This window comes from Homo sapiens, chromosome 20 (genome assembly GCF_000001405.40).
Source record: "Homo sapiens chromosome 20, GRCh38.p14 Primary Assembly".
Lineage (NCBI taxonomy): Eukaryota > Metazoa > Chordata > Mammalia > Primates > Hominidae > Homo > Homo sapiens.
The window spans coordinates 32127082-32148908 of record NC_000020.11 but is presented as its reverse complement, the minus strand read 5'-3'; the positions used below and the strand labels follow the sequence as shown (position 1 = coordinate 32148908).

The window sequence follows — 21827 nt, the reverse complement described above, 5'->3', positions numbered from 1 at the left end:
CATGAGGTCAGGAGATCGAGACCATCCTGGCTAACAGGGTGAAACCCCGTCTCTACTAAAAATACAAAAAATTAGCTGGGCATGGTGGTAGGCGCCTGTAGTCCCAGCTACTCGGGAGGCTGAGGCAGGAGAATGGCATGAACCTGGAAGGCGGAGCTTGCAGTGAGCCAAGATTGTGTCACTGCACTCCAGCCTGGGCAACAGAGCAAGACTCCGTCTCTTAAAAAAAAAAAAAAAAAAAAAAAGCTGTAATATTTCTATACCAAGTCTTGGTGTTTTGAATCTTGCCTTAGAAAAATAATAGAAGAATTGCTGTGCAAAACAAGTTGCCTGTTTTAGTTCTTTTTTGTTTTTGTTGAGGTAGGATCTCCCTATGCTGCCCTGGCTGGTCTTGAACTCCTGGGCTCAAGTGATCCTCCTGCTTTGGCCTCCCAAAGTGCTGGGATTACAGGCACGAGCCACCATGCTCAGCCTGTTTTACAGTTCTTGATATCCACTGCCAATCACTTTTCAGAAAGCTACCAATTTATACTTCCATGGGTGGTATGGAAAGATGCTTAGTTCACATTAACCTTACCAACAATTAGTACTGTTAAAAAAAGAAAAAAAGTCTGTGCTAATATGATGGTCCAAAACGGTCTTCTCAAGATTGTTTGAACCTGCATTTTGTGGGGTTCTTCCTGAGGTAAAAACAGTTTTCTCTTGCTTACTGGGCATATTGCAGTGTCTTGCCTGTAAATTTCCTGTTCATCATTACATTCGAAATTTTAGATTTTTTGGTTTTATTTATTTATTTATGAGACGGAGTCTTGCTCTGTTGCCCAGGCTGTAGTACAGTGGTGTGATCTCGGCTCACTGCAACCTCTACCTCCCAGGTTCAAGTGATCTCCGGCCTCAGCATCCCGAGTAGCTGGAACTACAGGCACCTGCCACCAGGCTCAGCTAATTTTTGTATTTTAGTAGAGACAGGTTTTCACCATGTTGGTCAGGCTGGTCTTGAACTCCTAACCTCAAGTTATCTACTGTCCTCTAGTTTTTTTTTTTTTTTTTCCTTTGGAGACAGAGTCTTACTTTGTTGCCCAGGCTGGAGTGCAGTGGCACGTTCTTGGCTCACTACAACCTCCGCCTTCTGGGTTCAAGTGATTCTCCTGCCTCAGCCTCCTGAGTAGCTGGGATTGCAGGTGCATGCCACCACACCCAGCTAATTTTTGTATTTTTATTAGAGACGAAGTTTTCACATGTTGGTCAGGCTGGTCTTGAACTCCTGATCTCAAGTGATCCACCTGCCTTGGCCTCCCAAAGTGCTGAGATAACAGGTGTGAGCCACCGTGCCCAGCCCCGACCTAGTTTTTTTTAAAACAAAGAGATTTTGCATGAATTCTTTAAACTGTGCCATTTTTTTCAAGTTTGTTGCAGATATTGTTTGCCATTGTGGCCTTCTGTTTTGTTTATGTATTTGGCATGCAGAATAGTTTTACAATTTTTAATGTCAAATCAATCAACTATTTTTTGTGATTTCTTCCACGGTTTTTATGCTTTAAAATTAGAAAGGCCATCCCTATCACTTTGGGTGAATAAAACTTTTTTCCTTACTTTTTTGGTATTACATTTTTAGTATTAAAAGTATACTAGGCCAGGCGTGGTGGCTCATGCCTGTAATCCCAGTACTTTCGGAGGCCGAGGCAGATGATCATGAGGTCAGGAGACTGAGACCATCCTGGCTAACATGGCAAACCCCGTTTCTACTAAAAAATACAAAAAGTTAGCAAGGTGTGGTGGTGCGTGCCTGTAGTCTCAGCTATTCGGGAGGTTGAGGTGGGGAATTGCTTGAACCCGGGAGGTGGAGATTGCAATGAGCCGAGATCACACCACTGCACTCCAGCCTGGTGACAGAGCGAGACTCCGTCTCAAAAAAAAAAAAAAAAAGTATACTAAACTGTTTTAGTATTTTGAGGTTTCCTCTTTGAATGATAATATACACAAACATATGCACACACACGGTCCTCCTCCCCTCCCCATCCAACTTCATCCCTCCCCAGCCAAGACCTCGTACAATGTCATCCTCCTTGTTGTAGTTGGCAATGTCCTTCCGGAGGGTCCGAATGATAATCATGCTCAGGATACCTGAAATAGATGGCGGTGAGGATGAGGAGAAGTTGGCGCTGCCAGCAAGCCCATGCTCCATGCCCTCCTAGACATGATGTTTTACTGTGCGACAGCTGGCATGCACGGCTTGCTCCATTATGAACTGGCTATGCAGCCACCTCAAGGCCTCTTCTCGGGGGAGCTCCACTCCAGCTACCAGGGGAGGAGAGCACAGAGCATGGAGGTGGGGAGGAAAGGGTTGCTGGGATGGGTAGGGGTATCCTGGGGAGAGGAGCATCCCAGCTGTTCCATCGCTTGGTCCTACTGACTTCTCAGCTCATGTGTCCAAGGGCTGCCTGTGGCTCCACCTCTGGCTATCTGCTGCTTCAGTTGGCTCCTGGCCTCACTATGTTCTCATCAGCACGCCTTTCTTCAAGCTATCCTTTTTGCCCAGAATGCCCCGCCATATCCTGACTGACTCCTACGCGTGCTTCGAGGCTCACTCTGGGCATCTTCACGTCCCAGCACCCTGAACAGTACAGAGCCACTCCCACCCCCATTTGTACTTTCCTGTTTCCCTCTCTAGGCAGCACTGTAGTGGTTAAGAGAATGGGCCATATGACCTTGAGTTCACTTAACATTTTCGGGCCTAGTTCACAGGGCTTCAGGGATTGAAATGTTTGTAAAGTGCTTAGTTCAGCAGCTGGCCCTTTGGTAAATGTTTAATAAACAGTATTTAGCATTATCTGTGCTTCTCATATGATAGTGAAACCATCAGTGTCATTCTACCCCTGCCTACCACCCTCTCACCACCCGGTTTCTTGCTGAGCTTATCTCGCTGCAGGACCATGATCCTCACTGGCACAGACTTTTCCCAGGTCTCTGGATGGTGGCTCCTTATCGTAAAGAAAGGTCTTCCCCAAAGAGCCTTCACACTTTCCTCAGCTATTGTGTATTTGGCCACCCTGTTGATCTGCTTCATAGAATGTATCACTATCTGGAACTCCACTACTTATTTGCTTTTTTGTTTCTCTCCCACCACTAGAATATAGGCTCTATGGGAGCAGAGACTGGGTCGGGCTTGTTCATACCATATTCCCAGCATCTGGCAAAGTGCCTGGCACAGAATGAGCAACAACAACATCTTGTTGAATGAATCAAGAATGTGTGCAGGCTCAGGTGTGTCTGTCCTCCATGAATGAGCTCTCCAGAGTTCTAGAGCTCTCTAGAGATGAGTCTTGTTTACCTATGTACACCTGATGCTTAGCAGAGCCCTGATGTCTGTTTTTGACCTACGCCTGACCCTCAGAACACCCTGGAAGTCCCCCATACATGATGTGATGTCTCAGTCCCTCAACCCCAACCCCCATCCCCTTTCCCTCAACCCACAGATCTCTCACCTGACAGGAAGAAGACCACAACAACGGAGTTAATGATAGAAAACCAGTGGATCTGGACGTCACTCATGGTCAGGTAAGTGTCCCAGCGAGAGGCCCATTTGATATCACTTTCCTGGCAGGTGGGAGGAAGCACTTAGAGTCAGGCATCCTGCTGGAGAACCTGACACAGACCAGAGCCCTCCTCCCCTGCCCATGAGCTCCAGCCCCTTCTCACCTCCCAGTGGACAGAGTAGGTGAAGTACAGCTGATTCTCCTTGGTGGGGTCAATTTCTTGGGGCGAGGAGTTGGTACCCTCAGGCAGAGTGCACGAACTCTTCTCATCTGCTTTGAGGTCTGAGAGAGACACAGACTCAGTCTGTTCCTGTGGTGGCCAGTGCCACTGCCCAGGGGCTATTCCAGGGGCTGCCCTCAAGGCTGCCTGTCGCGGAGACCCAGCCTCTAGGGTGGGAGTGGAGACTGGGAGCACAATGGGCAACAATGGTTTTTTTTCATTTTTTATTTTTAAACCTTATTTTTTTAGAGATAGAGTTTTGCCCTGTCACGCAGACAATGGCACAATCATAGCTCACTGCAGCCTCAACCTCCTAGGCTCAAGTCATCCTTCTGCTTCAGCTTCCGGAGTAGCTGGGACTACAGGTGTGTGTCACCACACCTGGCTAATTTTAAGACATTTTTTTGTAGGGACAAGGTCCTTTTATGTTTCCCAGGCTGGTCTTGAACTCCTGGCCTGATGCAATCCTTCTGTGTTGGCCTCCCAAAGCGCTGGGATCACAGGTGTGAGCCACCATGCCTGGCCAACAATGGTTTTTGAAAATTATTCCTCAGAGCCCTGACTTTCTGAAGGTCCTTAGGGGCTGCAGAGAGGCCTGTGCATGGGGGAAGGGAGGGGCCTGAGTCGGAGTTCCTCCCTGAGTCAGTGTTCCTTCACTCAATTCAAACGTTCACCTACCATCCAGCCAGTCCCATTCAACATAAAACCTTGATCCATTCCATCATGCCTACTCATTCATTTAGTCTATCTCTAAAGCCCTGGCACTTTCGTGATCAATCATTCAGATGTTTTCTCCATTCATTTGCTCATCTGTTCATCCTGTTATCCATCTACTCATTCAACCAACAACATATAATAAGCACCAACTATGGGCCAGGTACTGTGCTAGGTGCTTAAGATAAAATGGTGAGCTGGGCGCGGTGGCTCACGCCTGTAATCCAAGCACTTTGGGAGGCCAAGGCAGGCAGATCACGAGGTCCGGAGTTTGAGACCAGCCTGGCCAACATGGTGAAACCCCGTCTCTACTAAAAATACAAAAATTAGCCAGGTGCGGTAGTGGGCGCCTATAATCCTAGCTACTTAGGAGGCTGAGGCAGGAGAATTGCTTGAACCCAGGAGACGCAGGTTGCAGTGAGCGGAGATCGCGCCACTGCACTCCAGCCTGGGTGACAGAGCAAGACTCTGTCTTGGGGGGAAAAAAAAAGATAAAATGGTAAGAAAAGGAGACAGGGAGACTCTAAGCTTGAAGAGCCAGTGGGGGAGCAGGTGGCCTCAAAAGCGTCACACATGCAAACGTAGAACTGCGCTCGGGAAGCTCCCAGGGGAGATGTGCTATGGAGCTCTTGAAGGGCAGGATCTATGTTTGGGACTTCTGTGTCTAATTTTGTTTGAACACTAAGTTCCACAGTGGAAAAAAAAAAAAAGTCCAAATACCACCAACATGGTCAAAATCCTGGGCATGCTGCTTAATTAAAAAGCACACTGTGATGATCAAGGGCCAAGAGGTGAGGCAAAGCCGGACCAGCTCCTGTGAGGCCCATCAGGACTGTGCTGGACTCTCAAACTCCCGCACACCTGTTGACCCTGGGCAAATTTTAGTTTATGCCAATCACTCACACAGCGGGAGAGGAACGAAGAAACCTGCTGCCTACAGGCTTTGTCTGTACCCTGGCCCCTTGTTCTCAACCCAGGGTGAGCTGGCTGGTTCTTGTGAGGAGGCCCAACAAAGCCCCAACTTGCTGTTTGGTCTTGGCCAAGTCACTAGCTCCTTTTGAGCCTCTAGTTCTTCCTTTGTAATCATCACGTACCTCCTGGGGTTGCTGGGAAGGGGTAAACTAGTAAGGTGTCTAGCCCGTGACACTGCAGCTGTCAGCTGCCCCCACACCCCGTCTTCTCTAATGAGAATACCATGATCCTACCTTGGCTGGGCCCACACGCCACACCCGAGCCCATCGGCCAGCTCAGGAGGGAGAAGAGTGCGAAGACCCTGCGTGGAGAAGCCCAGGCCCATCCAGCCCTGCCCCTCCGGCCACACCTCCCCACTCACCCTCCAGCCTGATGCTCTGGGGAATCACCTCGAAGCGGACGACACGGTACGTGTGCTCCTGGTCCTCTTCCATGTCCTCCCGATGATAGTAAAGGATGAATGAGAGGTGGTTGTGCAGGTAGATCTGAAACACAGCAACAGAGAAAGCACAACAGAACATCACTTAGGGATACTCTCCAGGTATTAGGGCCCTTGCCTCACCCAGCATGCCTGGTTGTACCAACCTTCCTAAAACACTGTTCTCATCACTCCCCTACTCAGAAGCTCTTCAAGGGCTCCCTGCAGCTTATCAGACAAAAGCCCATTTCTCAAAGTCTGGCATTCAAGGCCTTCTATCATCTGACCCTGATACAACTGGGTGTAATCATCTAAGTCACATGAGTTCACCTAGACTCCCCTGTGCCCACCGCCCCATGAACCAGTCTCTACCCTGCAATCACTCCAACTAGAATGCCACCCCCAACTCCACTCAGCAAAAGCCCACCAACTTCTCATGGCCCACCTCCTCTGTGACAACCTGAGTGTAAAAGGAGCTCCCTCTGACCTCGCCTGCAATTAATGGCCAGTGAAAGGCAGCTGGGACTGGAGACTTAGAGCCTCCCACTGTCGGTTCTCTTCCCAGTTAGGACAGACGCCCTTTGGGGACAGGGGCTGCACCTCAAAACACATACTTTTGTAATTTATTCCCTAACTAATATCTTTCAGTTTAGAAAGAAAGATAAGAGAATCAGGGCTATAATCATCACATTATTAGCTGATTCTCCAGGGCTGTGCTGGGAAGGGCTCACACGAATGTGCTAATTTACCCCGCCACTGCTGCTGCATACATTTTACAGCTAAGGAACCACAGGCTCAGGGTCACTTAGACAACTAGTAACTGGGAGAGGAAGGATTCAAACCCAGGGAGCCTGCACGCTCTTGACCACTACTTAGCCCTCTCTCCTACATACTGATGAAGTTCCACGGTTTTTTTTTTTATGTTGTTTTAATCTTACAAAAATGGAACCTAACTTCCTAAGAATTGTGGCTTCACCTCCCTGTAGCACCTCCCAGGGACTTGCCCGGAGCACTCGGACCTCTGACAGACCATCATGCCCAGGGCACCTGGAGAAACTTGCTGTGGCCGAGCCCCACCTTTTCTGTGGCCCCAAGTGCTCAGGACTCGTGAGGTGTGGCTCCCGGTCCTGTGAGCACGCCAAAGACACTCTACCTTGTTGACATCTGTGAAGCCGAGCCGGTAGCCGTGTTCAAACTGCACATCTTTTTCCTTCTTCTTGTCATCGCTGTCTCGGTTGGAGTAGAGCTCCAGCCGGGTGGCCACAGGCAGGTTGTCAGCAATGCTGGAAAGTGAAGGCCCCACTCAGTCCCTCTCGACCGCCTCTCCCGTCAGTGTCCTCCCCTGTGTGAGCCTGAGGCAGCAAGGAGCACAGGGCGACTTACAGGTGGACGTAGTAGTCTTCTGTGATCCGCTCGGCCACGAGTCGGCTCTGCTCCACTGTCAGGGTCACTGGCTTGTTGGACTGGCTGCACAGAACTTCACACTTCTTCTCGCTGTTCATGAGAACCTGGAAAGGGGTGTTGACAATCCGGTCCCCTCTCAGCACCTCTCCTGCCGTAAGAGAGACAGATCAAGCTCAGAGCTTCAGCCCTGAGGTTGCTGAGGTCAGCAGAGTCACAGAGACACAGGACTGCGGGGCAAACATGGGCTTTCAAGGACTTCAGCAGTGCCTCAGCCTGGCAGCCAATGCCCTTCCCATTGCTTCACGCCCAACGGTCCCAGCTAACCTCGACCTGCCACCCTCCTCCTTTGGGCTCTAGTGCTACCAGACCCCTTAGCACTCAGCACTCATCAAGCATCACATCCTTTTTTTTTTTTTTTTTTTTTTTTTGAGATGGAGTCTCGCTCTGTCACCCAGGCTGGAGTGCAGTGGCACGATCTCAGCTCACTGTGAACTCTGCCTCCTGGGTTCAGGCCATTCTCCTGCCTCAGCCTCCCGAGTAGTTGGGACTACAGGTGCATGCCACCACGCCCGGCTAATTTTTTGTATTTTTAGTAGAGACGGGGTTTCACCCTGTTAGCCAGGATGGTCTCGATATCCTGACCTCATGATCTGCCCATCTCAGCCTCCCAAAGTGCTAGATTACAGGTGTGAGCCACCGCGCCCAGCCAAGCATCACATCCTTCTATGCCTCTGGGCCTCAGTCGCTTCCTTCTCCTAGAGTTCCCTGCCCCATGCTCCTGGCCTCCCCAGAAGCCCAGTTTCCATTTCACTCTCTCTGGGAAGCCCTCCCTAACCCCTTCAGGACAAGCCCATCACTCCCTCCCCTGACTGCCCTGTGTGAGGGCAGCATTATGCAGTGGAGGGATGACTCTGACTCTCGGCTGCCTGCCTTAGCAGTCTTGGTAAGTCACTCCATCTCACTGAGCCTCAATGTCCTCATCCATAAAATGGGATAATAACAGTATCCACCTCACAGGGTTACAGTGAGAAATAAAGGAAGTCAATCCAATAAAGTAGCAGGCACAGAGTAGGCAGGCATCAAACGCTCTTTTATCATCAGCATCCGTTCCTATGTCAAGGATTTACTTTGCACAATGTGCTGATACAGTCATGTTTCTGGCTCCCCTACCTGACTATGAGCTCGTTACTGTTAAGACTGTTTCCTATTTATCTCTGTGTCTTCAGATCCTGGTTCCAGCAGGGAGGGGAGTGGGGTGAAATCCAGCACCTGAGATTTTCAGGCAAAACGTCTTTTGACTCAATGAAGTGGCACCCCTTGTGTGCCTTTTGCCTCAGAGTAACTGCTGCCAGATGTCACCCTAACAGGCACTGAGCAGTTAGGGACTATCAAGCAAACCCCATGGTGCTTTCATTCTGAGCTGTTCAACAATTGATGGACAAGATGAAGACTAATTAACACCTCCACATGCACTTGGTCTCGCACTTTTCCTCCAGTGTGGATCTGCTCGACAGGGCACTCTCCCTAGTCATCTAGTCATTCATTCATTCATCCGTGAACATGTACTGGGTACTGGCTACATGCCAAGCCCTAAAGATGCAAAGTTGAATAGATGTACTCATAGAGTGCATGGCCTAGCAGGAAGATAGACTTTGCTGAATAATCAGCAAAATGAGAATATATAACTTGCTGCAGACACAGGGGAGTGGGTCTAGGACAGCTTCCCTGAGGAAGGGGTACTTGAAAGGAAGAGAGATGTTAACTGAGCAAAGAAATAGGAGAATATTCCAGACAGGACAGCATGTGCAAAGGCCCCTTTGGGGTGGGGGAGGCACTGAACCTGAAAGGCCTGTGTGGCTACAGTGCAGAAGGCTCAGATGAGCTGCAGAGATGGGCCAGTACTCAGGGGGCCTGTGGGACACACAGTTTGATCTTGACCAGTTTGACCTAGAAAGCAACAAAATCCAATGAAGGTTTCTAACAGGGGTAGAGAAAGACGTTATCTGAGTCTGGTTCCAGAAAGATCATTCTGGCTGTTTTGTGAAGAAAACAGAGGATGCAAGGAACTGGCGGTGAGCAGTGGTGGTGGTGGGGGGCAGTGATGGCAGTCAGTCATGCATGAGTGACACCGGTGACTGGAACAGGTGCTGGTGAGGGTAGAGAAGAGTACACAGATTCAGGAGCTCCAAGGAGGTGAAATCCAGGGGAAGCAGTGCTGACTGTAAACAAGGCATGAGTGAGGGATGGTGCATATTAGGAAGACTCTGAGGTTTCTACAACCAGGTTCTAGGTGGGAAAATAGGAAGAACAGCAAATTTACATCGAAGGCATTTTCAGTTTGGATATATCAAGTGGGCACTTAGATATCAAGATCTGAGGCGCAGAGGAGAGGTCAGGGCACAGATGGAAGTTGGGGGTTATCGGCCCACAGATGGTAAATGGCAGGGCCGCGAGCTACACCGCTGTAGGCGCCAGCACTCTGCTGTGCAAAGTAGCGGCCCTGGCAAGCAATGCTTTCAGTGTGGAGGAGGCACTCAGGAGAGGGAGAGATTGAGGAAGGGCATGGATGAAGGCCTCACCCCTCCACCCTGTTTTGGAAGGCTGGCAATGCAGGTGAGTCTGCAAAACCCAGGGATGGATTGGCCAGTGAAGAGCGAGGACACAGTAAGATATCTGCAGAGCCCACTGCTGAAATGGCATTTTATAGATGACAAGCTGAGGATCAGAGACCTGCTCGTGGTGATATGAGGGGGTGGTGGTAATGCTAAATCCCTGGCCTCTTTCCTCTATACCATTTCCTACTGCCTATTTCATCTCCTGTCAATGAGGATCTTGCTTGAGGAGAGAAAGAGCTACAGAGAGGAACAGGGCTGCAGACCAAGTACAGTGGAATCGCTTCTTGATATTTAAAAATTAAGTTTAGCCAAGAAAGGGGACATAATGGTCAGGAAATGGCTCATTTCTATTTCTTGTTTTTGTTTTGTTTTTGAGATAGAGTCTTGCTCTGTTGCTCAGGCTGGAGCGCAATGGCGCAATCTCAGCTCACTGCAACCTCTGCCTCCTGGGTTGAAGCGATCCTCCTGCCTTAGCCTCCCAAGTAGCTGGGATAACAGGCGTGCACCACCATGCCTGGCTAATTTTTGTATTTTTAGTAGAGATTTACAAATTTACAAATTTTTTTAAATTTTGTATTTTAGTATGTTGGCCAGGCTGGTCTTGAACTCTTGACCTCAGGTGATCCGCCTACTCTGGCCTCCCAAAGTGCTGGGATTACAGGCATGAGCGAAATGGCTCATTTTATACATGGAAGTACTCCTTTTAACAATGAGCAGTAAGCCATGAATGTGGAGCCTCCCAAAGAGTCCAGGGTTCTATCCGGAACACCTGCCAAAGCTGCTCCAATACATACACCATGCCATGGATCTCCATCAATGTGACAACCATTAGCACAGCCCTCAGACAGCCCTATGGGCCTTTCTGGAGAAGGCAGCCTGCGACAACAGAAAGAACTCTGGCTTTAGGGTAAAAGAACCTGAGTTAAAAATCTCAATTTCTCCACCTATTGGCCATGTGACCCTGACTAAGTCTTTCAAACCCTTGAGGCTGCTGTTCCCTCTACTATGAAATACTCAGCTTACAGAGTTACTATCAGAGTCACAGAAGCTGCTGTACAGTGTGGTGCTTGGGCATGGATTCTGGAGCCAGAGTTCCTGGAGTTCCGTCACTTACTAGGTGAGTGACTTCACCTCCTTGTGCCTCACTTCCCTTATTTATAATAAGGAGAGTAAGAGAATCTACATGCTATTGTGAGAATTACTAAGTTAGAGTTGTGAGAATTAAGTAAGTTAAGGCACAGGAATGCTTAGAACAGTGCCCAGCTCATAGGATGAGCCCTCTAGGTATTAATGATGATGATGAGGATGATGATGTAAATGGCTTACAATCCAACAGTCACGCAATCAAGGATGGTTTTGCTCCACTCAGGTAGAACACTAACAATTATCGAATGCCTACTATGTGTCAGGCACTGGGCTAGAAGCTGAGAAGAGAGGGGAATGTGAGACACAATCCCTCCAGTCAAAGAGCCCTTAGGCCATGAAGGCAGGCACTACAAAGACAGAATGAGATGCAATATGGCAGGATAACATTTGTATACAGAAATCTCCATTTCTATGAGGCAGGAACTTTCCCCAGCTTCACGAAGATTTGGCAGGGGTTCAGAGAGGTTAAGGTCACCCAGGATCATACTAAGAGTGCCTAACTATAGAGCCTTGGGTTGCCAAAGGGTCCACAGCAGCTCCCAGGAGAAGGGAGGTACATTTGTGAGGGGCCTGATATCAGGACCCTGGGGCACCAAGTGGGTCAGGCTTCCCGGGGAGAGGCAAGGTGGCTGGAGGATAGCATGGTGTGGTGAGGAAAGGAGGGCAATGGCAGGCAGGCACTGGTCCACAGATGGTAAGTGGCAGGGCCACAAGCTGCACCACTGCAGACAGTTGGTAGAGGCCAGCCCAGGCTCTGAGGCCAATCTCTGTTCAACGCTACAAGGCAAGACTTCGGCACAGTTGGTATTAGGGGGAGATGGTCCTACCCAATTTTGGTTAAACTGGCTCCAAGGCCTGCCTCCAACTGGTCCAGGACCCCCAATACCTGGCAGTAGATAAATTTGTCAGCTAGAGGTTCCAGAAACATCTGAGCCATGCGTAGCCCTGACGGAGAAGGCAGCCCTTTCAGGGGCTTGCTCAAGAACCAGTTCTCTCCTTTCTCCTTCCTAAGGTGTAAGAAAAGAAAGTCTCTTAAGTTCCCTGAGGTCAGGGAGACACCTTTCCATGCTTTTATCTCCAGGACCTAACACAGTCACAGAGGAGGCACTAATAACTGTGTACGACTAGACACCTCTACACCTGAAATTCTGTCAAATGGAGAATTATTTAAATTAGAATAAAATGGCTACTAGTTATGGAATACTTGTGTCAGACACTGCACTGGGTGCCTCACACATTATTTGACATGAGTCCTGCAGAGCTCAGCAAGAACTGTGGTGGCATCTCTGCTTGCATTCAGGGCAGAGGCACTCGCTCTCTCTTTCCATTTAAAGCAGAGGAGGTGATGAAGCCGCAAGAGAGGAGCTATCTAGAAATCAAGAAGAGGCGGTGTAAATAGAAGCCAAGTGCTCCAAGTCTGAAGACTGACTGTGGATCCAAAACAAAGATCACTCTGGCTGTTTTGTGAAGAAAACAGAGGATGCCTTTGCCCACAGTATAAACAAAGACAAGTCACTTAACCTGCAAAATGGGAATAAACACAGCAACTGTCTCCCCGGGGCTGTTATGAGGTTTAAATAAGCTAACAGGTATGCAAACAATGTAGACCAGTGTCTAGAATATAGCAAAGTTAACTGTTGTTATCATTATAAAAATCATGCTGGGTTCCCCCTGGGGACAAGTTGACAGCAGTGTGGGAGAAGAACTTACCCAGATTCTCTGCCTTGTAGGTTATCTTGCTGGGCTGGCAGAAGGGCAGTGAATAGTATTCATAAGGTAGCTGGGTTCGAGAGCTGGTGAGCTTCACAGCCTGATGGGAATCCAGCAGAAACCAAGATGACCAATAATCCTCCCTGGTACCCACACATCTTTAGTACACTTGGTAATATTAACTAATAGGCAAACGAATTAGCAGAAATGACAGCAGTACACTATATAATGTACTGCCCACAATTCTGAATTATTTCACATTTCATTCATTTTAGACTACACTACAGATATAGTTGAGAATCACAACCAAATTCAATACATTGTGAGAGTCTTGAACATGCTACTATCCCTTGACACAGCAATTTCACTTTTGGGCATCTTTCCTAAGGAAATAACTCCAAATAAGGAAAAAAAGCATTTTAGGAGCAACGAAGTTCACTCCTTATTCATAACCATAGTGATCTTCTTCCTTCAGCTCCTCGAGTCAGTCAAGCTCTCTCCTGCCTCAGGCTTTGACCTACTGCTCCTTTCTGCCCTATTGTGTGCTCGCCTGGCTTCTCCTCATATTCAGGTCTCAGCTCTCCCCTTGCCTGTGTCCTTACCTCACCAGGGTATCTAAAGGAACTCCCCGGTATCCACTGGACTGTCAGTCTTCAACTGTTTACTTCATAGCATATCTGATAAAATGTTAATTAGTTTCCCTGTTTTTTAAAAAATCAGTTTCTCCCATTAGCATCTAAGATTTAAGCTCTATAAGGACAAGGACCACGTGTGCCTTGGTCACCTCTGTAACTCCAGTGCTTTAGAGCTAGGCACAAAGTAGGTACTCATTAAATGTTTGCTGAATGAGAGAAGAGAGGAAAAATGAAAAATAACTTCAACTCAAAGCTCCTGCAATGGGAAATTTATCAATAAACTATGATATATTCTTTCAATTAAATATGGTAAAGCCATAAAAAAATAAGGTTTAAGACAATGAAGAAGAATGTTTAGGAAATGCTACAAGCACACAGAATATAGCTCTGGAAACCACAGACAAAATAGAACCCATCGAAATGTTACAAAAAATAAAATTTTAATCCAAATGTAAGTAAAACTACCTTTACTATTTAGGAACTATTGACCATTCCTCATACACCACCTAAAAGTAAAAAAGATTTTTGGAATACAGGTCTACAATCTTTTTTCAACTCTTTTTTGGGATTAGAAATTTTCTGGATTCCCTGTAATCCCAGCATTTTGGGAGGGTGAGGCGGGCAGATCACTTGAGGTCAGGAGTTTGAGACCAGCCTGGCCAACATGGTGAAACCCCGTCTCTACTAAAAATGCAAAAATCGGCTGGGCATGGTGGTGTGCACCTATAATCCCAGCTACTCAGGAGGCTGAGGCAGGAGAATTGCTTGAACCTGGGAGGCAGAGGTTGCAGTAAGCAGAGATCATGCCACTGCACTCCAGCCTGGGTGACAGAGCAAGATTCCATCTCACAAAAAAAAAAAAGAAAAGAAAAAGAAAATTTCCAGATTTTAGAAGGCAATGTGGTATACAAACCATAGCCAAGCTGGGTCTGGACAGTACCTCATATTCGATAACTATTTGTGCAGAGAAATGCAAAGATATTCATATTAAGTGGAATAGAAAAAGTCAATAAACAGCTTCATGTTCAGTTCTGGTCAGTTCTTGCCTTCAGTGAGCTTGGAAAAACTGAGTTCCAGAGCTTTCCGGGTGTGAAACTGCAGGGATTAAGGACCTCTATTAAACATTTCATGAATTGCTTGAGGAAAAATGGCCAAAAAGTCTGTTTTAACAATTTTGTGTTTCTTAGCATTCTCACTCAGGACAATGAGAAAAGAATGCACGTTACAGAGAGATGCGTCCCACCTTTACGTTGCCTCCCACTCCCTCTCTTCCCACCCAAGGCGTCCACCCTCACATACTTAGCTATGTGGGACTGGAAGCCAGAGCAGCTCTGGTACCTCCAGGCCACTCCTCTGCTCTGGAGGGAGCTTTTGACAGAGGTAGTGGGAAGAAGGTACTGCAGTGGTTAAGAGATGGGGTCTTGGGCTGGGTGTGGTGGCTCATGCCCGATAATCCCAGCACTCTGGGAGGCTGAAGCATGAGAACTGTTTGAGCCCAAGAGTTCAAGACCAGCCTGTGCAACATAGTGAGACCTCATCTCTACTTAAAAAAAAAAAAAAAAAAATTAGCCAGGCATGGTGGTGCACACCTGTAGTCCCAGCTACTTGGGAGGCTGAGGCAGAAGGATCACTTTAGCCTGGGAGGTCAAAGCTGCAGTGAGCTATGCTCACGCCACTGCACTCCAGCTTAGGCAACAGAGAAAGACCACGTCTCCTCTAAATAGAGATGGGGTTTGAACTAACCCTATGTCTTCCTCACTATGTGACCTTGAACATGTTAATTTTCCTTCCCAGGCCTCGGTTTCCCCATCTGTAAAATGAATAGGAAATCTGTGTAACATATGGAATTGGCCCCAGTGGGTTCTTGGGGGGCAACCTGAGCTAAGCCATGCACAATGCCTGGCATGTAAATAACCCTCAGTAAAAGTTATTTTAATGACTGTTCCTGCAAGTTACAAGTCTGACTGCCAAGGAAAAGAGACGTTCACAATGTATGAACAATATGAGCAGACACTAGGAGTTATGCTGACAAAGCTGGTAACAGAGAAGATGGAGCAGGTGAGAAAGGGAGGCAGAGATGCTAAAGAAGAGGCAGGTGGAGTAAGACAAAGGCACAAAAAGAGATGGACACATACATGACAGAGACAGAATACTTGAAAGCAAAAGTGAGAGTGAGAAAGAGACCGAGATGCAAATATACACAAGCATACACAGGGACAGAGACACAGAAAGAACCAGAAACAGAGAGGGGACCGAGAACCAGAGGCACAGGGAGAGGGAGAGGCAGAGTTCCGGGGTAACTGGCACTATTCTTTCTTCTCTGCAACCACAGGATGGACACGAACAGCTCACCATGGTGCTCCAGACACACTGCCTAGCACAGAGGCTCCAAAAATCCAGGAACACACTTACCTTGATTTCTACGGGATCGTTCTGGTGGAAGTTGATAGGCGCGACCCCAGGCACATAGAAGGCGCTTGTTTCACACATCAGGGAGAAAAGCAGTAAAGACCACGGCAACCAATCCTGCTCAGAAGAGAGGCCAGGGTTGGATTGGGGAGAAGAAGTGAAGAAGATCCTCTGAGGCAGATCAAGTCATACCACCTTCATGTTGCTTTAATTGACCCAGTGTAGCCACCCTCTGACCCATGAAGCCTGAAGACCTCATAAATGTTCTCTCCCAAATGCTCCCAAGAGTGCCACAGGACAATTCTGCACTTCCAGGAGTTAGCCACAAAGTAATTAACATCTGGGCAAAAGGGAAGACTATCACACAGGAGCCATGTCTCCCCACTTCTGGATCAATGTTCTTTTAACCATTTATAGTGTGTAACTCCCAGGATAGCTGGCAGGAAATAAAGCTCCAGGACATTTAATTAATTCCCATTTCTCTGTATAGCAACTAGTTCACGCTGTCAAAAGCTCCTATGTTACCAAGAGATGTTCCTACAAGTTTCTCCAAAACCGTGCTGGCCTCTCTCACCTCCCACTCTCCTCCTCGCTCAGCTCAGCCACACGGGCCTCCTTGTTGTCCTGACAACAAACCTTTCTGCACCCCTCAGGGCCTTCGTCTTTACTGTGCCTTCTGGTGGAATGCCCTTCCCACAGGCACCTGCACGGCACATCTCTCTTCTTTTTTTTTTTTGAGACGGAGTTACCCAGGTTGGAGTACAATGGCATGATCTCAGGTCACTGCAACCTCTGCCTCCCAAGTTCAAGTGAGTCTCCTGCCTCAGCCTACCGAGTAGCTGGGACTACAGGCATCCACCACCTCACCTGGCTAATTTTTCTATTTTTAGATCAGACGGGGTTTCACCACATTGCCCGGGCTGGTCTTCAACTCCTGACCTCAGGTGATCTGCCCACCTCGGCCTCCCAAAGTGCCGAGATTACAAGTGTGAGCTACCACGCCCAATGGCACATCTCCTTATTTCATTCAGGTCTCTCAAATATCACTTCCTCAGAGAAGTCTGCACTGACCATTCTATCTAAAAAACAACCTCAGGGCTCCCATTACCCATTTCTCTAGTCCCTTATCTATTTCTCCTCATGGACTTATCTAATTGACATGTACTATATGTATATGTTTATTTGCGTATTGCATGTCCCCCTACCCTTGAATGTGATCTCTAGGAAAGCAGCACCACGAACAGTGCCTGGCACAGCATGGGGACTCAGGAAATATCTGCATGCAGCATAGGCACCTGGGAATCAAAGGCAAGAAAGGTCCATTGCATCTCTTTCCCTTAATAATAGTGCTTCACCCCTGCAAGGAACTAGAAAAGCTGCCGGATTCTCTTCTTTCTACGCAGTCTGAACAACGAACTTTTGTCTTCCACACGCCTAAATCACCAACTCAAGTCAGTTTCTGTATCTGACTACTCTCCCTAACCTTTCACTGCTGTTGCATTTCAGATGCTTATTTCCTCCCACCTGGACATTGGCCACAGCCTCCTGATCACCTGTCTCCACAGCCCTCCCATCCATCAAGTTACACCCCATCCAACCAACCAAGCAACCAACTAACCAACACACACACACACACACACACACACACTCTGATGACTCTGTGAAACTCAGTTTTATAGGAAATCAGGATCACTGAGGAGGCTTGCCAAAAATGTAGACTGACCTGTACTTTTACCTGGACTACAAGTTGAGGGAAAAATGGCTTTACAAGTTTCTGAATTTGTAAAAGGTTCTGAATTCAGTACACTTTTTGCAGACACATAGCTTGGTCAAAGTCTTTTAAGCAATATTTTCATGGAGTTTTTCCTCCGATTTGTTGTGAACGTTTACAAGTATCTGCCAGCTGATGTTCATTAGGAAAGCCTGACTCCAGTAAACACAGTGCCATGGCTAAGACAGGTGTATTGTATTTGGCAATCAGGAGGCCAGATGAATCAGGAGAGCAGGAAAATCTTTAAAAGAAATGACAAGACTAGTAGGTAAATTGCCTCATGGGGCAATTTGGATAGGAAGGATAGGAAGACAGTATTTTTTTCCCTCTGTCATTTTTTTTTAAAAGAACTTTTTATTTTTAAGTAAATTTAGATTTGCAGAAGAGTTACACAGACACTACAGAGGGTTCCCATACATTCTTCACCCAGTTTCCCCTAATGCTAACATCCTGCATAACCATAAGCGAGTAAGGCTTTTTAAAAGCAACTAGCGTGAACATTTTTTGAAAAAGCAAACTACAGTAAATAATTCAAACAGTACAAATGGGTATGCCATGAAAAACAAATCCTCCCACTCCAGGTCCCCATGGACAACTGCTATCACCAGTTCCTTGAAAATCTCTCTAGAGACATTCTATGCTGGTACAAAGGGGAGGGTTTCATAGTATGGGTTGGCTTGAATACAAAAACAAATAGATTTTTCTTCTTTCTCTCTGAGTAGTGATGGAAAGCCTACCAACTGCAGGCTGGGTACAGCATCTGATTTCCTCTGCGTCAGAGGACCTCCTCCACCTGACTAGGCATCTGAAGATTCTGGCCCTTCCTCATTGGAAGCTTTTGCCAACCCTCATGTGTCATTGGTTAGAACGCAAGTGTGTCATGTGAGAGAAATAAACCCTGCCCTCTTTTTTCCTCTAATTCCCCTCTGTTCCTGAATTCCAGTTAACCAAAATATAAAGAAGGCAAATCCTGTACTGTTGGCAAAAACAGCCACCCAAAAGTTGTTAAAAAACAAAACAAAACACCTCAAGCTTAAATTTTTGAAAAACAATCCTCACACAAAGATACTATCAACAAATCACACACCAATTTATCTTAGAAGGATCAAGAGATGAAAAACAGCAAAGGATATTTTCGTAATATGCTAGAATCTTTGAATATAATACTGAAGTTGGCAACCAAAAGCAATTCAGAAGTTCAACTTAGAACTAATGGCTGTATCCGATGGCACTGTCTATTTTAGATATTAAAATGTCACCATCTTGGTATTTTCACATGGCTATAGGCATTATAAACTGGAACACTACTGCGGGTTTATCTGGCACTCTGTATCCAAAAGTCCCCCAAAAGTACATACTCTTTGACTCTGTAATTCTGCTTCTAGGCATGTTAAGAAAAATACGTCAGGTATGCCAAAATGTATACATGAAAGGGTGTTCACCAATAACATTATTTAAAATAGTTCACTACTGGCCAGGCGCAGTAGCTCATGCCTATAATCCTAGCACTTTGGGAGGCCAAGTTGGGGGCAAATCACCTGAGGTCAGGAGTTCGAGACCAGCCTGGACTACATGGTGAAACCCCATCTCTACTAAAAGAACAAAAATTAGCCAGGTGTGGTGGCAGATGCCTGTAATCCCAGCTACTTGGGAGGCAGAGGCAGGAGAATTGCTTGAACCCGGGAGGCGGAAGTTGCAGTGAGCTGTACTCCATCCTGGGCGACAAAGGGAGACTCTATTTCAAAAAAAAAAAAAAAAAAATTCACTACTTACAATAGTAAAATGTCAAATGTTAATGGAATGGGTTAAATTATTATATGTCCATTTAAATGGTCATTGAAAGTGATGACATGTTTTTCTTTTTTTGAGACAGGGTCTCACTCTGTTGTCCAGGGTGGAGTGCAGTGGTGCAATCACAGTTCATTGCAGCCTCAACCTCTTGGGCTCAAGAGATCCTCCCACCTCAACTTGCCAAGTAGCTGGGACCACAGGCACACGCCACCATGCACCGCAATTTTTTTGATTTTTTGTAAATATAGTGTCTCCCTATATTACCCAGGCTGGTCCCAAACTTCTGGGCTCAAGCAATCCTCCCGCCTCAGCCTCCCAAAGTGCTGAGATATAAGTGTGAGTCACTGCACCTGGCCGATACATTTCTTGAGTAGGAATGTTCAAGCTTTAGATTTACATAGTAAAAGCAGGAGCTAGAACACTGTGTGGCAGGATTCCTTTTTTTTTTTATCTTTGGAAAAATATTTAGGAGGCAAAATGTCTTAGTGATGAGCTTTTTTCCTTTTTTGTGTATCTATATTTTCTAATTTTCTTAGATGATTATATAGTATGTATGCCACTTAAATAATAAATGAGGCAAAAGAAAACATCACTGTTCTGAACACTGAGGTTAGAGTAATCCTAGCTTGGTATGGAGGAACTTCCACCCACCGGCCCCAGTGCCTTTCCAGCAGCACCTCCCACCTTTTCTTTCTAAGCCTTCAGGGAGACCTAGGACTTGGGACACTGTATAAATGTATACACACACACACACACACACACACACACACACACACAGAATGGAATACTCTTCAGCCATAAAAAAGAATAAAATCATGTCTTTTGCAGCAACATGGATGAAACTGGAGACTATTATCTTACGTGAAACAACTCAGAAACAACGTCAAATACTGCATGTCCTTGCTTATAAGTGGGAGCTAAATAATGTGTACACATGGACACACAGTGTGGAATAATAACATTGGAGGCTCTGAAGGGTAGGGGTGGTGACGGATGAGAAATTACTTACTGCATACAATGTACATTATTCGGGGGATGGTTACATTAAAAGCCCAGACTTCCCCACTACCCAATCTACCCATGTAACAAAGCTGCACTTGGTACCTCCTAAATTTTATTTTAAAAAAGAAAAGAAATGCAGAATCACGGGCCCTACCCTAGAACCTGCATTTCAGCAAGTTCCCTGAGTTAAAGTTTAAGCAGCACTGCTCTAGGTCATCCTAAAGTGCAGTCAGGGTCAAAAACCACTGCTTAGGTAGAAGTGTCTATCCCAGATGATACAAACCTCTCAGAAGGGATGTAGTGGTCTGTATTTCTCTTTGACTAGATTTAAAACTGCATCTTGACAACCAATAATGGGGTGGCTATCATATGCTAGGGAAAGCACTGAGCCTGGGGCCCCAAAATAAGGCCAGGGAGTTATACCCTCCCCTCAGCTGTGCAGCACTGGGCAATCAACTTCAACTTTGCTGGGCTGTGTCCTCATTTACTAGGATGGATTCATGTGGTAGAAGTGGAACTCAAAAAAGAACATGAATTTGAAAGCATTAATAAGCAGTTAGCCACAACCCTTATATGTAAGTATGATTATCATTATTTCTTGCTCATCAATAACCTGTGTTCTGAATGTCTCCTAAGAAGCTGGACACCAGACCTTTTTGTCTCATCTGATAGGTGATTTGAAACCAGTGCAGGGGATCACAATCTCCTCTGGTTATCAAGCCAATTAAGTCTAAGCAGTTACTGCAGTTCTACCTTCTTTTGAAACAGAATCCTCCAGATTTAGTTGAGAGACACCACCCTAGGGAACTCAAGGGCTCTCTGCGAAGCTCAGGTTGCAGAGGAATGAAAAGCAAATCCTGAAAGACTTCAATACACTTTTGTTCCAGTCTCAAACCAATGGAGCAAGTATACACATAAAAAAACAAAAACAAAAAGACACAACAAGAATGCCCGAACAGGAAAACAACACCAAAAAACAACAAGAAGCCAGAGTCACTGAGCACCTCCTAAGCACAAGGCACAGTGACAGACCGGGTTCCTTCTTTCCACTTACCAAGTCCCTGCGCCCTGCTAGGCACTGACAAACATTGATTTGTGGTATCCTCACAACTACAGGTACCTGGAGATTTTGGTCACCATTTCGCAGATGGTGTTAATCTGAGACCCAGAGACCCAGAAGTTAAGTAACTTGCCCATCCAGCCAGAAAGTGGAGGAACAAGGATGCTCTTTTCAAGCAGATGAATTGCATTACAAATGAGGAGACTGTAACGATGATGTTCATAACAATGGCAGCTAACATGTATTGAATGCTAATTACGTGCTAAGCACAATTCTAGGTTCTGTCCATGGAATAACTCAATGAAAACAATCCTATGAGGTAGGGACTCTTATTATTCCCATTTCACAGATGAGGAAACTGAGAGTCAGACAGGCTCTCAGGATTAGCAGTGAACAATATTAGGATTAAACAGGATTTAGCCTG

General features: G+C 46.5%; 1 protein-coding gene across 5 annotated transcripts in view, besides 1 other annotated feature; it reads right to left on the bottom strand.

Moving 5' to 3' along the window:
* TM9SF4 (transmembrane 9 superfamily member 4) overlaps positions 1–21827 on the bottom strand; it is a 57543-nt gene that overhangs the window by 18348 nt on the left and 17368 nt on the right. For 4 of the 5 annotated variants that reach the window (NM_001363731.2, XM_017028155.2, NM_014742.4 and 1 more), the window contains exons 2-9: positions 15783–15896; positions 12736–12835; positions 7244–7412; positions 7014–7143; positions 5804–5927; positions 3700–3818; positions 3486–3597; positions 2054–2124 (exon numbers count right to left, since the gene is read on the bottom strand). In NM_001363731.2, coding sequence (NP_001350660.1) covers positions 2054–2124; positions 3486–3597; positions 3700–3818; positions 5804–5927; positions 7014–7143; positions 7244–7412; positions 12736–12835; positions 15783–15860 — 903 coding nt within the window. In that variant the 5' untranslated portion in view covers positions 15861–15896. Of the gene's footprint in view, positions 1–2053; positions 2125–3485; positions 3598–3699; positions 3819–5803; positions 5928–7013; positions 7144–7243; positions 7413–12735; positions 12838–15782; positions 15897–21827 lie in introns of those variants that run through there. The other variant, XM_017028156.2, reaches the window with a different exon arrangement.
* Positions 15468–15627: an enhancer, noted in NCBI's record as "active region_17711". NCBI's record gives its function as "activates an Ori minimal core promoter by ATAC-STARR-seq in GM12878 lymphoblastoid cells {active_cell/tissue: GM12878}" and the evidence as "EXISTENCE:reporter gene assay evidence [ECO:0000049][PMID:35858748]".